General features: G+C 49.1%; 1 long non-coding RNA gene across 1 annotated transcript, besides 1 other annotated feature; it reads left to right on the plus strand.

Moving 5' to 3' along the window:
- Nucleotides 1–1,947: 1,947 nt before the first annotated feature.
- LINC02902 (long intergenic non-protein coding RNA 2902) lies at nt 1,948–8,352 on the plus strand. Its single transcript, NR_171030.1, has 3 exons — nt 1,948–2,052; nt 5,397–5,460; nt 5,611–8,352. It is a non-coding gene; the product is annotated as a long intergenic non-protein coding RNA 2902 (long non-coding RNA).
- Nucleotides 6,563–7,103: an enhancer, noted in NCBI's record as "H3K27ac-H3K4me1 hESC enhancer chr7:47699457-47699997 (GRCh37/hg19 assembly coordinates)". NCBI's record gives its function as "activates a minimal SCP1, AML or CMV promoter by ChIP-STARR-seq in primed H9 embryonic stem cells {active_cell/tissue: H9 hESC(primed)}" and the evidence as "EXISTENCE:reporter gene assay evidence [ECO:0000049][PMID:30033119]".
- Nucleotides 8,353–16,662: the final 8,310 nt, after the last annotated feature.

Here is a 16,662-nt window from a genome sequence, read left to right on the forward strand (position 1 = left end):
TTACCCAATCTTGTGTGGTATCTTTATAGCAGTGTGAAAACAGACTAATACAACAATATATCTATGTAACAAAGTTACACTTGTACTCCATAAGTTTGTACAAATAAAATGATAAAACTGAACCAGTTCTAAATCAGGTTAAATTGAACAAGAATATCAGGCATAGTCCATGGAAAACAACCCATACTTCTCTCTGATTCCATAATTTATTTTTTATTTCCAACTTCATGCCTCTCAGTCACGCCGGCCATCTCTATCATGTGCCTTGGACCCTCTGGCCTTGGGGCCCGAATGATGGCTTCAGCCCCTCTGGCCAGCAAGTCTGTCTGCTGCCTCTACTGGACACATGTACTGCCTAAAGCTGGGGACTTTCTTATCTGGTCCAGACCCCCAGTTCCTCTAACACACTCATTCCACAAATAGAGCCTCAGGCTCCTCCAGGCCCATGGCTACAGAGCCTTTCCTCTCCTAGAGTTTCTCTCCTTTTAGACTCACAAACTCTCTGCTTACCTGCAAGGTGACAGCCTCACTTGAGGAGGAGGAGCTGAGGTTCACTAGGTGGGAGCTGGCCCAAGTCAGTTTAGCTCAGAGGTCGGAGTCTTTGTAAGATGCAGAATGAAAATGAAGTGTTACGACCTCAACCTCCCTCTCCCATCACCCGCTGGGCAAATGCCAATGTCACATCCTTTAAACTGACTTCCTGCCTCCTAGGTCTCTGCCCTGCCTGGTTTAGATCGAAGTGATTAACCTTCTCCCGGGAGCTCGGGGAGGGAAGTCTGGCTGAGCCCTCTTGCCCTTCAGTTCTGCTGTCCTCCTCTACCCAGGTGGGTATTTGACAAGTTTGTGGATTTCAAGCAAAATGTATCTAAAATACATTGTCTTACAGTATGAACTAGAGGAAACAGTGTTTGAATGTTATCTGTTTCTTTTGGAACCAAATCATTGGGTTGGATGATTTATTAAGAAGTGAATCATCCGGGCCGGTGGCTCACGCATGTAATCCCAGCACTTTGGTAGGCCGAGGTGGGCTGACCACTTGAAGTTACAGGTTCGAGACCAGGCTGGCCAACACAGTGAAACCCTTTCTCTACTAAAAATACCAAAAACTTAGCTGGGTGTCCTGGCACACACCTGTAATCCCAGCTACTCAGGAGGCTGAGACACAAGAATTGCTTGAACCTGGGAGGTGGAGGTTGCAATGAGCCGAGATCACACCACTGTACTCCAGCCTGGGCAACAGAGCGAGACTCCTTTGTCTTGAAAAAAAAAAAAAAAATTAAAGTGTCCCAATCTGGGGGGAGGAACAGGGTCACTGCTATGAGAAAGCTAGAGATGGCCTAGGGTCCTTTCTAAAATTTCCTCTGATATTCCTCACACTTTCAAATGATTTCTCCTTTCTTCCCACTCCAGCCACAGACTGCTAGGAAGTACAGTATTTTTTCTTTTGGAAGAAAAAGTAAATGGGAAGGCACAGGATTTTTATTAATGCTGTTACTGATTTTAAAATAAGCTAAGAATGTGCCGTCAATCCAGTTGGCTGCTCCCTGCCGCCCACGGAGCCTGTAATCACTGCCTTACAGCTCACGAGAACAATGGCAACACAAGCAAACCACATCTGCATTTCCACATTCTGAGCAGCAGGTCCCTGAAATAGAGGCAGGGTACGGGAAATTATAGGACTTCAGTGAAACTGTAGGATTGCTGGGATTCCCACAGGCGCCCAGCCCTGGCTCGGGGAATATTTGAGTGTGGGAACTACCCTAGCATCTCTGCACTTACAGGAGAACCAGGGGATTCACCCGTCATGAGAGCAGAGCTCCTATACCCTGGCATCCTGCGCCCCAGGCACCCGAGGGATCCTGGGAAAACCCAAAGCTATGTGGCTAAAACTCCTGCTTTGGGGCTCAGGGTTCAGGGGGTACGCTAGACTCCTCTCCCCATTCGATTCTTGCATTTGGCAGACGAGTCACCCGGGCAGTGGGATGAGGATGGCACCAACAGAGTCAACAGAAGGAAGACGGCTCTGGCCGGGCCCCAGGGAGGGAGGCAGCGGTCAGGACAGTGGTCTTTGTGGGGCCTGGGAGGTGTGGATGCTGGGAGGGATGTGGGGGTGGTCCTGGATGACTGTTGTTCTTTCTGGACCTGGGAAGTGGTTACATGGGCGTGTCCACTTCATGATAATTTGATTTTTTGTCTTTTTTTAAAATGTTTGCTATCCATCAAAATTTGAAAAAGCTCCCAGGGCTTTGGTAACTCCCTGTGGGGCAGAGAGAGTCCACAGAATGTCAAGGCTGGATTTTCTGCCAGGCTGGAAGGAGGAGGGCTCAGGGTTGTATTTGATTTGTTTAGGAGATGGAAAGAAACTGGCCATGTCTTACACAAGGGAAAATAGTTGTTTTCCCAACATCTGGGGTCTCGAAGGCACTCGAGAAGTGATTACTTTGGGGGGTTTCTGCTTCTCCTGGCAGGCTGAGCTGTTCTGGCTGGGAGGCCTCACTTGTCTCCCCGTCCACACTGCTGGCCCGTGGGGTCTCGCGATGGCTGATGCTGATGTATGGGAAAGCCACGCACCCCAAGAGACTCCATCCTCCCAGTAAGCACTCCATGGAGGAAAGAGAGAGGTGGTAATCAATAAACTTGAGTCATTATTGATATTAGTTGTATTGAACATTTACCACGTGGCAAGCAGGGGTGCCGGGGAAAAAACGACTAAAACCTGGGAGGAAGTTTTTTTTTTTCTTTTGAGACGGAGTCTCGCTCTGTAGCCCAGGCTGGAGTGCAGCGGCGCGATCTCGGCTCACTGCAACCTCCGCCTCCCGGGTTCACACCATTCTCCTGCCTCAGCCTCCCGAGTAGCTGGGACTACAGGTGCCCACCACCACGCCCGGCTAATTTTTTGTATTTTTAGTAGAGATGGGGTTTCATCGTGTTAGCCAGGATGGTCTCGATCTCCTGACCTCATGATCCGCCCGCCTCGGCCTCCCAAAGTGCCGGGATTACAGGCGTGAGCCACCGCGTCCGGCCAAGGAAGGTATTTTTATTGGCCACAATTAACAGATGAAAAAGGCGAAGATCCAGGTGTGTTTGGAACTTGGGCCAGGTTAGGGGGTTACACAGGCTCAAGAACTGCCTTTCACTTGTTTAGATTCAGTCAAGACCAGAACAAAGAGAAACACGGAGATTTCTGTCCAGGAGTGGGCCTTCAGGGACTGCATAGCTTCTCAGTGCTCGACTTGCGTGATGGGATAAGTGCTCTTAGAGCTCACTCACCCCTTCTGTCATGTGAAGACACAGGGAGATGGCATCATCAATGAACGAGAAAGTGGGCCCTCCCCAGACAGCGAATGTCCTGGCACCTTAATCTTGGACTTTCAGCCACTAGAACTGCAAGAAATAAATTTCTGTTGTGTGCGAGCCATCCAGTCCATGGTACTTTGTTACAGCAGCCTGAAGGTACTAGCAAGCCTTAAGAAAAGTATCAGAAAATGGCCGGGCGTGATGGCTCACGCCTGTAATCCCAGGGCCTTGGGAGGCCGAGGCAGGTGGATCACGAGGTGAGGAGATCGAGACCATCCTGGCTAACACGGTGAAATCCCGTCTCTACTAAAAATATAAAAAATTAGCCGGGCGTGGTAGTGGGCGCCTGTAGTCCCAGCTACTCCGGAGGCTGAGGCAGGAGAATGTCGTGAACCCAGGAGGCGGAGGTGGCAGTGAGTGGAGATCGTGCCACTGCACTCCAGCCTGGGCAACAGAGCAAGACTCCGTCCCCCCCCGCAAAAAAAAGAAAGAAAATGGTCAACCTGTCTCAAGAGCCTCAAGATATTCTCACTAAGGTGTTGTTGATACCCTTGGACGTCTCTTTCTGTACACACATGCACTTGAGCACATGCGTCTTTTCACAGTAGCCCACTGTGCATGCTGCTTGCCACACACCTGACAGTGTCAGTCTTGGTAGGTGGTGTTGGGGGTATGTCAAGGGCTCCCCGTGACCTCCAAGATGTAGCCACTTCTGGCCCTCACCCACTGCCCTTCCAGACGCGTCTCCCAGCTAGCCCTGCACCCCCTGCTCTGAGCACCTCATCTTGCAGACACGGACACCTTCCCCTTGATCTCCTCTGTTCCTTTGGCGCTGCTGCTCTGCTGCCTGGCTGCCTTTTCCCATCTATGAATAGCGTAATTAGATTCTCCTGTAATGAAGTGAGTGGGACTTTGGAGGCCTCCATTCCCATTTTGTCCCTGTCCTGACTTCCTCACATCCCCTCCGGGACTGTCCCTCTATGTGACCTTTGGCCTTCAAGCTTCTTGCCATTGCATCTTCGCTCAACCTGTGCCTTCTCTCTGGAATGCCTCTCCCACCTTCTCTGTGCATCAAGGCCTTATTTACTCCCGAACTCAGCCTGCAGGATTCTACATAGAATTAAACTTCCCTCCTCTGGAGGCCTGTGTACTTGCTGATTGAATTAGTCAAGTGTCTTTGGTACAAGTGGTCAAGGGCATGAACTGGGTGCGGGACGGCCTGGGTCTATATCTTACTCTGCCGCTCTGTAGCTGTCAAAATTGGAACATCTCTGTGCCTCACTCTTCTTATCCTTAAAATGGGGTTAATGGCTGGGTGCGTGGCTCATGCCTGTAATCCCAGCACTTTGGAAGGCCGTGGCAGGCAGATCACGAGGTGAGGAGATGGAGACCATCCTGGCCAACATGGTGAAACCCCGTCTCTGCTAAAAATACAAAAATCAGCTGGGCGTGGCGGTGCATGCCTGTAGTCCCAGCTACTCGGGAGGCTGAGGCAGCAGAATTGCTTGAACCCGGGAGGCGGAGATTGCAGTGAGCCAAGATCGCACCATTGCACCCCAGCCTGGGTGACAGAGTGAGATTCTGTCTTAAAAAAAAATATGGGGTTAATATCTGAGTTCCTTGTAGGGATGTGTGATCATTCATTGAATGGAAATGTGGGAAGTATTTAACACTTGACACAGGGTAAGCACTAGATGAGTATGGCAGTTGCTGCACTTATCTCCTTGTGTTCTAGTTGGTTTTTACCCTTTTGTATGTACCCCAATCCCAGACCCCCACAATGACAGCTACCCGAGAGCAGAAGCCATATTCATGTTTACATTCCCAGTGCCTTATCTATGGGTTGGTACAAGGGAGGTTCCCCCAAATGTGGCTGGTGAATGGGTGGCTTTGTTCCAGGCCATTGATGCACCCTCCATGGCTGAATGGAAATTAGAATCCCCACCTGAGTTACCTCAGATATTCCCATTTCTAGATTACAGGAAAAGTTCCCGTGCTCTTAGGAAAAGGAAGCTCATAGTCACCAGGAAGTATACCTAGTACTTTCATGGATGCTATTCAGTTTAACCTTCTCCTAAATGCCTGCTCTTATTGTGCAGGTAAGGAAACAACTTCAGAGAAGTTAAGCAACTTGCCCAGGCCACACAGCTATTCACCAAAGAGGTAATATTTGAGTTCAGGGCTGGGTGCCCCTAAGCCAGCACACCTTCTTACTTGTTACTCATTTGTAAATTCCATGGTGGGTGGAGGATATATCCTGGAGAGGGTATTGAGTGGTTCGGGATTTACTAAAACCCCTCTTGCTTTACACAGAGCTGATGCTGAGTCTTTCAGAGGAGTGCCTGCAGCATTTAAAAAATGCAGAGAAGTGTTCAGAGCCTGCTGGGGAAGCAGGGAGCTGCTATTTCTGTTCAAGGCAATCAGTGAGGCTGGACCTGCCCAGAATTCATGTGGAATCACCCTAGAGAAGGCTGGTGGCTTGGAAGACACTGGATCTCACTGGCTCAGCTGGGCACGGTGCAAGGTGCTATACATAAATGGTTTCACTGACCCCTGGAAGGATGCTCAGGCCTGGATACTCATTGTGAGCTGCAAAAAAGGAAAGGGGACCCCTGAGAGGGAAGGCAGGAACTAGGGCTCATGGCCAGAGGTGTGGAGCTGCATTGAAATCTCTTGAGTGGGATGCCCATGCTTCCCCACCAGATCCCAGAAACTCAACGTAGTGTCCTGATGTCCTGACTGGCTCTGCAGAAGCCCAGGTGTCACTCCGGGTGAGTGGGCTCAGATCCTCCACGGTCTACATCCTCCAGGCACTCTGGGCATCCCCGTCCTCTGGGTGGGGACAGCTTTCTAGCTGTGCTGGGTGAGGGTGATTATAGCCAGCAATCCTGGCTGGGCCTTCGTTCTTGATCCCCGGTAAAGGCAGGGGCTACAGGGTGCCCTGGTGCACAGAGGCTCACTGGCTGCTCAAGGTCTCCTCCCACAACCATCTACATCCTGACTCAGCGCTGAATTGTGATGCTCTGGAGGACAAGGCTGGTGCTCCCACAGTGTGTACCTGCCTTCCTGGAGGCCAGGATGCCAAGAACTGCCTCCTAGCCACCCGCTTCTTCCAGGCCCTTAGAACTCCAGCCAGAGGGCTGCCTGTAGGGCCTGCTTCTGTGCAGCTGCTCAGAGCAGTGACAGCACTCCTTACCCCGTCCCTGTCTACCCCACAAGTGCTGCCTGCTTACTTGGGTCGTGTCCATGCTGGCCTCTGCTCTTGGGGCCTGGGGAGCCAGAGCCACCAAGGACGGACAGGCCAGACTCAGGAAGCAGCCTGTGGTGGGGCAGCCCACCTACACTCGCCCCTCCCTTGAGCCTTCTCACCCGGCAGCATCCCTGCTGGATGCAGGTTCCCTCCATGCCTCCACCCAGGGGCATCCCCACCCCTCATTGCGACCGTCTCCAGAGCCCTTCCTTCCCTGCACCATCCCTGCTCCTTCATCTCCTGCCCTTTGCCTGCCCTACCTGTCGCCTCAGCAGGCACTCACATGGGCACATCTTGGCCTCCCTCCTGAGGGCCCTGCCCAGACCAGCCAAAGGAAGGCAACCTCAGGCGGCACCAGGCAGTGACTGGGCAGTGGGGACAAGGACCACAATGCCCGTGGCTGTAGGTGTCATGGGTTGGGGAGGGGGTGTGGGTTCCTGGACCTTTGCCCTGGTCCTGGGGTGGGCAGGTGGGGTTCCTGGTTGACCCTGCACACAGCCTCCGGGGTGGTCTCCAGAGGACTGTGCAGTGGGGGCAGCCAGTGGCAGCCTAAAGAGTGCAGGATGGGGGTGGGGGGTGCCCACTGAAACAAATGCTCAAGAGCAGCTGGTTATGGCAGGACTTTAAGTATATATTCCTGTACATCTTTTCAAACATATACACAAAGCAATTCACATTTTCATATACTGGAAAGGCAGGCTAACTTTTCATTTTCCTGCAACATGTGCATAGTAATAAAAAATTCTGGCCGAGCGCAGTGGCTCACCCCTGTAATCCCAGCACTTTGGCAGGCCAAGGTGGGCGGATCACAAGGTCAGGGGTTCGAGATTAGCCTGACCAACATGGTGAAATCCCGTCTCTACTAAAAATACAAAAATTAGCCGGGCGTGGTGGCATACACCTGTAATCCCAGCTACTCAGGAGGCTGAGGCAGGAGAATTGCATGAACATGGGAGGCAGAGGTTGCAGTGAGCCGAGACTGCGCCACTGCACCCCAGGCTGGGTGACAGAGCTAGACTCAGTCTCAAAAAAAAAAAAAAGTTCTATAGCCTTCTTCCAGTTTCTCCCCCCAATTAAATGTAATAACAATCTAATCAGTGCACTGAAAGTTAAGATAATAGAAAAAATTTCATCCAGAATCCCATCACCCACATGTTACCGAGGGAGAAATTTTACCACCTCTTGTTTCAGGCCAGTTCAGGCAGGTGTACATTGTCTCAGAAGGGAGATATTTCTTTCGTCTGATACTGGAGAGTCACCAGAGTCGCCAGACAACAGGACAGGACACTCATCTTGCCCACAGGCTAGGTTTGCTGGATGTCACTAGGTTTGCCAGACACCAACTCTTGTCAGAGTTATTCCATTTGCCTGTTTGGAAAAGGCAGCCTTCACCCCTGCATTCCTAGCTCCTGGGCTGACGGCCTGCCTGACATCTGAGGGTAGTGGAGTGAGGTTGGCACTTGCCCTGCGCTGAGAGTGGAGGGGAGATAATGGTTTAGGTGGGAAAGTACAGCCCCTCCAGCTTCAGGGATCAGCTCACAGCAGGGGGAAAAGTCCTAGAGGAAGACTGGGGTGGGGCATGTCTGCTCACTCACAAAAGCAGATTCATTATTACAGGGCCTTTAAAGAGGGATGTGTGTGGGTAGATGGGATCCTCACCGAGGTGTGACCTGCTTTTTCTAGTGTTTGCGAGGATGTCTCATTAACCTGCAGGAAAGTGCTGGTTTCAATTCGATGGTTTGTTTTCTGTTCTGTTTCCTTTCTGTTACAAACACAAAGGGTACATTAAAGAGCCTTTCCCCATCATCTTGTTTTTTAAAAAATATTTTTTTACTTGTTAGAGTTTATTTTAATTATGGAAAGAATTCAAATCCATAGCAACACATAGCTAATGACAAACAATTCCGAAAACATTTTAGGAAGAGCAACACATTGACTTTTCCTTTTTGAAACGTGTAAGAAGGTGTTCATTATTGCAGTGCCCTGCTTATGCCTCAAGACTTGCTTAGTGCTGTCCTCCAAGAATACCGCTCTGTCCCCTTCAGGATGGACAGGGCCCCACTGTCGTTCCCCTCCTACGTCCTTCATAAAACTCATCAAGTAATGTTTTCACATGGCCCTCTCCCTCCCAGATATGAGCAAGGAACTCATCTGCTGAGCTCACATCCAGAAACGAAGATATCAGTTAAAACAAATAGGCTGGATGTGGTGGCTCACGCCTGTAATTCCAGCACTTCAGGAGGCCGAGGCGCTCAGATCACCTGAGGTCAGGAGGAGTTCGAGAACAGCCTGGCCACCATGGTGAAACCCCATCTCTACTAAAAATACAAAAATTAGCCAGCGTGGTGGCATGCACCTGAAATCTTAGCTACTCATGAGGCTGAGGCACAAGAATCCCTTGAACTCGGTAGGCGGAGGTTGCAGTGAGCCAAGATCGCACCACTGCATTCCAGCCTGGGCGACAGAGCAAGACTCCGTCTCAAAATAAAAAAAAAAAAAAGAAAGAAAGAAAATTTGTGCATAGTCAGACTTATTAAATTTAGGAACTGCATAATCATGAAGACTGTATCCCAAGAAAATTAAATGGCTGGCCAATTTGATGAACCATTTCCTGAGCTTGGTCAATTGAATATAAACAGTGGTGCTTTCTCAGCATAAACATTCTAAATGTGGATAGGAAGTGTGCTGTGCAGGACGGACAGATTATTCTTTTAACTAGATACATCTGGAGAGTCCCTTGGTCATTCCATGAATTTGTAGGGAAAAGACCTTCCTGACCAGGAGACCAATTCTTCTTGGCCAAATTGGGCATGATGCCAGCCTATAACATCGTCAAACACAGCAGAAGATTCAGAGAGAGGCAAATTAAAAGTGATAAGGAGCTATCCATTTTTGCCATATATATATATATATATATATATATATATATATATATATATATATATATATATATACACACACACACAGAGAGAGAGAGAGAGAGAGAGAGAGACAGATGGAGTCTCACTCTGTTGCCCAGGCTGGAGTGCGGTGGCATGATCTTGGCTCACTGCAATCTCTGCCTCCCGGGATCAAGCAGTTCTCTGCCTCAGCCTCCCGAGTAGCTGGGATTACAGGTGCCTGCCACCACACATGGCTAATTTTTGTATTTTTAGTAGAGACGGGGTTTCAATATTTTGACTAGGCTAGTCTTGAACTTCTGATCTCGTGATCCACCTGCCTCGGCCTCCCAAAATGCTGGGATTACGGGCGTGAGCCACTGTGCCCAGCCAACAATGAATCATTTTATGATCAGAGAACAGCAGAGTGATAAGCAGCAGAGCTAACAGTTCTGTTCCAGAGCCAGGTGTGAGGCTCGGTGTTTGGATTGTCTTACTTCCAAGCCATATGGCATCCTACAAGGTGAGCAAAAAAGATCTATTTCCACTGTGAAGAAACCGACATTTAAGTAACAAATTAGTAGGAGAAGGAATGAACTTTTGAACATGGGGCTTTCCTTCCCATTTCAGGTCTCATTCTTTCCATCATGCCACATGCTTTGCAGAGTCTGTGAACTACTAGAAGATGAGTAGCTAACCCGTATGCCTCAGGGTTCATAAAAGTAACAAAGAAGGGTCTCTTAAATTCCTTAAGAAATACTTTTTCAGGCGTATCGGAATTCATAAATGTGGTAACATCCCATTAAAATGTCAAGCATCTGCTTTTGGTTGAAATTGTGTCTAACTTTTTAAATACCAATTGACACCAGCGATTAGTTTTTGGTGAATTGTGTTGCCTCTGGAGATATAGTTTCCAGAGCCACAGCTCAGGTATCAAAGTTCCTGAAATGAAATTGATCTAGCTGGGGATCAGGCCAAGCATATTAAAATAGGGTGGCTATGAGGACAGCGAGGTCGGGGGAGGAAGAGGGCAGAGACGGGCAAGAATATAACTTAGGCCTGACCTTGACTCCCCAAGGCCCCCGATCTGATGTCCCCCTCATGTCTCAGTCTTGCAAGACATTGCCCCAAAACACACCCCCAAGCTCCTTTCTTCAGTTTTTAGAAAATTAGCAAATATTGAGCTGGAATAACCATTAGCGACCATCTGGTCCAAACTCATTATCTGAAATTGGAAGACACTGAAACACAGGGGAAAGAATGACATTTCTGCTGTTCCTGTTGCTGGCTGTGCAGAATACAATGCTTCCTGCATGGACAATAGCAGGAATTATTTTACATGGGAAGAAACTGAAGCTCAGCAAGGTTTGCTAATTTTCTCAAGACACTCAAGATGTTCATTTTCCACAGGACAGCCTCTCTGGGTCTCTTCCAACCTCTCTCTGTCCAATTCTGAGCTGGAGGCTAAGTCTAAGAATGGGACCAAATTCCCTACATAGAAGTGAGATTTTAACCCAGGTCTTTTGGTTTTAGGGTTTATTCCCTTTTCATTGTCTTTAAAGGATTGCTATAACTGAATAACCTCAACAATAAAATTAGATTCATTTTTAAGGCATTGAAAGATATTTATCTGAGGAATGCATTTATTTGCTGTTTACTGAAGAACAACTCTAGATGCTAACAGTATCAAGATGACTAAGAGATAGTTCTGGGCCAGGCGCAGTGGCTCATGCCTGTAATCCCAACACTTTGGGAGGCCGAGGTGTGCAGATCACAAGGTCAGGGGTTCGAGACCATCCTGGCTAACATGGTGAAACCCTGTCTCTACTAAAAATACAAAAAAATTAGCCGGGCATGGTGGCGGGCGCCTGTAGTCCCAGCTACTCAGGAGGCTGAGGCAGGAGAATGGCGTGAACCCGAGAGGCAGAGCTTGCAGTGAGCTGAGATTGCACCACTGCACTCCAGCCTGGGTGACAGAGCAAGACGCCGTCTCAAAAAAAAAAAAAAGGCAGTCCTTAGATCCACGGAGAATGTAGACCTTTACCACCCTCACAGCTCAATCCAACAAATAGACATTCATCCTATCACTTATTGGTTACTTATTAAATCCTCATGGCATACCAGACATTGTGCGAAGACACAGGGCTGTCAGACAGAGACTTACAAGAAGCTTAGGGGGAGCAAGCGCTGGGGCACAAGTTACTGTTGCAACAGAGGGAGCTCGTGGTGGGCAGCATGGGGATACTGGGGCCTCTCTGACTATGGACTGGGCAATGGGAGAGGTCTCAGCAGTCCAGGGACTTCTCAAGGGACATCATCTGACAACATGTGAGCCAATTGTCCCCGCCTCATTTCTCTCTGCATGTTCCTTTAGAGAAAAAAGAGATGGAATTACACCTACAAAAGTGTTGCAACAAACAGGCTAATTCACCAAGAAAGACTTTTCTGGGACTTTTCCCTGTCACTTGCACCAGCTCCTAGTGGGAGATAGACCCATATATGGGGCCATGTTGCCCAAATCCAATCACCATCTGTGGCTCAAGTTCTGTTCTTTGCTGGTCTGAGCAGGTGCTAAAGAGGACTGGAAATTAGAATTTGACAGTACTGAGGAAACTGGGTTTTCCAATTCATTCTTTCGTCGGTGCATTCATTCATCAGCACTATGAGCAGTTCGCAAGGGTCAGGCATGGACGGATGCCTGGGGATACAGATACAGACGAAAACAGACTGTGCCCGGGAGAAATGCTTACTCTCATGGGACCAGTGGAAGGGCTGAGGGGCAATTGTGGTTGAGTGCTGCTCTGTTTTTTTTTGTTCTTTTTTTTTTTTTTGAGACAGAGTCTTGCTCTGTCACCCAGGCTGGAGTGCAGTGGCGCCATCTCGGCTCACTGCAAGTTCTGCCTCCCACGTCCACGCCATTCTCCTGCCTCAGCGTCCCGAGTAGCTGGTACTACAGGCACCCGCCACCATGCCCGGCTAACGTTTTGTATTTTTAGTAGAGACGGGGTTTCACCGTGTTAGCCAGGATGGTCTTGATCTCCTGACCTCGTGATCTGCCCACCTTGGCCTCCCAAAGTGCTGGGATTACAGGTGTGAGCCACCGCGCCCGGCCACGAGTGCTGCTCTGTTTTCAAGGAGCCGCCTCTGCCAGCTGCTCCTCTCCAGGCCTTCTCCAACGATCTGCCCACTAAAAGGTGAAAACAACAAAAACAAAAACAAATTTTCCCACAAAATCAATTTCTTACATCACAAATTTAATGAGCATGATTATAGCTTGACTGATGGAAAATAAGTAAGCAGGGTCTTCTACCATAATTCATTAGCTAATGCATGTTATGCATGCATGTATATATGTGTGCCCACTTTGTTCCAGACAGGATTCAAAATCACTTACAAAGGAAAATACGATACTTTAGTTAATTGATTCTCTGGCTTTTCTTGGAAATTTGCATTCTTCTTTAGAATATAAAGTGCTGGATTGGCAGCAGAAGAAAACGAGAACAGAACCCCCCTTACCTGCTGCAGGGTTTGGACAGGCTGCTAGGCCTCAGGTTCTCCTGCTGAATGAACCCTTTGTACCATCTGTGCATAACTGACCGGGGCCAGGAGGAACTATGGAAATGCTGCCTCAGCCCGAATGTCAATTCTACATTCCAGCAGAATGTCTCAAACATCACATGTACTTTAAGGGAATTCAGTTTTCAACCAGCTCCTACATGACATCCACCTGCCTTAGCCTCCCAAAGTGCTGGGATTGCAGGCATAAGCCACCGCGCCAGGCCGAGTGAGCCTTCTTGCACGGTACGTATATTCAGATACAATGAAGGTAGGTTCATGATAAAAAAAAATGTTGTTTTTCTTTTCTTGCTATTTTTTTTTTGTCATTGGCATATCAACTTTCAGAATGACCTAAACCTTCAAGAATCATACTGTTAAAAGTCTGTGAAAAATATGAGCCATTCCTGGAATAGTAAGAGTTCAGTTCATGGCAGCGGCTGTGATGATTATTCAGACAGTGCAGTTATGGACTCTAAAGTGCTGTAATCAAACATGGTTAACTGCAAAGGCGGACCTAGTCCTGCTGCAGTCCTCTGGATTGGTAACTCCAAGGAGCCCAAGGGACCAGTTCTTCTGGTTTCCCTATGTGGAGACCCGGGGGCCTTGGCCCTTGGCTGAAGGTGGGACATTGATCTCAGCCTTACAGCACAGGCTTTCCCTGACTGGCCTACAAGGACACAAGCCATGTTGGTCATTCTCACCCATGAGTCCCTTTTTGATGAGTACTGGGGCCTAAGGCTGAGGGCCGTGACACTTCCTAGTGAGTAGGACCTCAGCAGCATGTACTGGTCCTATAAAGCCGACCTGCTGGCTCTGTCCTGCAGGGGCCCTAACATGTACCACGCAAGAAGTCTCACTCGGCCGGGTATGGTGGCTCATGCCTGTAATCCCAGCACTTTGGGAGGCCAAGGAGGGTGGGTCACTTGAGGTCAGAAGTTCGAGACCAGCCTGTTCAACATGGCGAAACCCTGTCTCTACGAAAAATACAAAAAAATTAGCTGGGCATAGTGGTGCATACCTCTAGTCCCAGCTACTCCAGCCTGGGTGACAGAGTGAGACTCTGTCCAAAAAAAAAAAGAAGTCTCACTCAAGGAGGTTGCAGCATTATGGTGGCAGGATGAGGTAACCGAGTTAAAGCTGGGATCAGCCTTCCCTGTTGGAGGTACACAGGCCCTGTAGGACCCCTGGTCTTGAGTCCTTCTCCATTGTCAAACTCAGATACCCTCTTTAAGGCCCAAGTCAAACTTTACCTTAGGGAGAAGGGGCACAGATCTTCCTAATACCTGAGTGTGAGGCAGACCCTCCCCTTTGCTGCTCCCACAGGGCTTTGTGCTGCCCTCAGGAGCATTCAGCCCTGGAGTCTGCAGAGCTGCTGTGCGTGTAGCCTCGCTCTCTTGGTTCATGCAGGCATGTAGCCGACCCTCAGCCGAAACACAGAGCCCATTTTCTCCATAAAGAAAAGGTGAGTTGGCCAGGCGCAGTGGCTCATGCCTGTAATCTCAGCACTTTGGGAGGCCGAGGTGGGCGAATCACGAGGTCAGGAGTTCGAGACCAGCCTGGCCAGCATGGTGAAACCCCATCCCTACCAAAAATACAAAATGTTAGCTGGGTGTGGTGGCAGGCGCCTATAATCCCAGCTACTCGGGAGGCTGAGGCAGGAGAATCACTTGAACCCGGGAGGCAGAGGTTGCAGTGAGCTGAGATTGCACCACTGCACTCCAGCCTGGGCGACAGTGCGAGACTCCAGCTCAAAAAAAAAAAAAAAAAAAAAAAAAAGAGTGAGTCAAATGGATGAATGAATGTAGCAAAGGCCAGGAGTAGGCTGTGGGAATTAAGGTTGCCTTTCAGGATCTTTGTGTGAGGAAGAGGACATCAGGGAGTGGGCTCCAGGGACCACTGAACCTGGGGACCGAGGAAGGGGCAGGGTTTGCCGAAAAGTGAGAGCTGCCCTGGCCTTGCCCAGCTGCGCAAGAGGGAGGCTCCAAGCTCTATCTGAGCAGTAGCAAGGAAAGGGCTGGACTGAGCCAATGGGGGTCAGCCTTCTGGCTTTGTTTCACTGTGCAGTTGTTGAGTGCCTAATGTACACCAGCAACAATTCAGGCCCTTGGGGTGCAGCAATAGGAGATGCTCCTGGAGCCAAGAGGATACCGACGGATCCCCTCCAGGCCAAGTAGTACCTGCAGCTAGGTCCATTCAACTAAACCAGATGAGTGTCATCTAGGTCTGTTTGTCCCTAGGGCATAGCAGATGCTCAATAAATACTTGCTTAATGAATAAAAGTCTCCTAATAAAAATAGTAGTAGGAGCCAACATCATTATTGAGTGCTTCTCTGTATCAGGCATTGTTCTAAACTTCACATGAACTCAATCTTCTTAACAGCTTTCATGATGAAGGCCGTAGGATCCCAACTTTACCAGTGAGAAAACAGAGGCATGGAAAGCTAGAGGAATTCAGCAAAGGTTATGTAGGAACTATCTTAAGGAGTGTGGGAGTGAATTCCAAACCTAGCGTGCTTTATCCCGGGCTTGGGTCTGCCCTCGAACCACAGGAGGTAGAAAAAAGGGCACACAGTCTTCATTTTCCGAGGATGTCATAGCAGGTGCTGCAGGCTGGGTGGCTGAACCCTCAGAAATGAATTTCCTCGCAGTCCTGGAGGCAGCAAGGCAGAGACTAAGGTGTTGGCAGGTTTGGTTTCTCCTGAGGCATCTCTCCTCGGATGGTAGATAGCTGTCTCCTCCCTCTTCCCTAAGGATGTGTGTGTAAGCCTGTGTCCCAATCTCCTCTTGTTATAAGGACACCAGTCATTGGATTAAGGCCCACCGTAATGCCTCATTTTACCTTAATTTCCTGGTAAAGGCCCTATCTCCAAAGAAGGTCACATCCTGAGATTCTGGTTAGGACTTCAGTCTTGGAATTTTGGGTAACACAATTCAGCTGGTGACATTGACACAGCCTGGGGCTGCCCAGTTTTCCCAGAAGGGGCAGCAGGAATGGGTCAAAAACCCATCACTCATCAAGAAAAACCAGTTCATGTGTTGAGGAACCGTCTTGTCTGCCGTCCTTCAGAATGAGTGCGCAGTTGTTTTGCTGTTTTCTTGGGAACCAGCTGTGGAACACTGCGCTTCCCTTTCCTTTCTTTTCAAGAACCTTGGTGCCCACCTGGCCTCCTGGAGGACACCTTTGTGCAGAGGCTGCCAGAGATGGAACATAGAGATGGGGGAGGGGAGCAGGTGATGCTGGCCCCTGTTGAAAGAAAGTGGGCAAGAGCAGGGGTAGTTATTTCTCCTCTTACAGAAAGGGCTTGCTGAGTTAGGCTTCATGTGGCATTGTGTTCTTTTGAACGTCACTTAAGGCATACATGAAGCGTGTGCACATGACACAGCCCAGTGGAGCCAGGGAGTGACTCAGCCTGCTGCCCAACACCCACTGCAAGTTGTTCCTGTGGCTGCCTCTAGCTGTTCCCCAATCTGAAATTTGTTTTTCGTTTTCCTTCACTTAAAAAAACTTGTTGGCCGGGCTCGGTGGCTCACACCTGTCATCTCAGCACTTTGAAAGGCCAACGAGGGAGGACTGCTTGAGCCCAGGAGTTTGAGACCAGCCTGGGCAACATAGAGAGACCCTGTCTCTACTAAAAGATAAAAATAAAACAATTAGCCGGCCACGGTGGTGCATGCCTG

This window comes from Homo sapiens, chromosome 7 (genome assembly GCF_000001405.40).
Source record: "Homo sapiens chromosome 7, GRCh38.p14 Primary Assembly".
Taxonomy (NCBI): domain Eukaryota; kingdom Metazoa; phylum Chordata; class Mammalia; order Primates; family Hominidae; genus Homo; species Homo sapiens.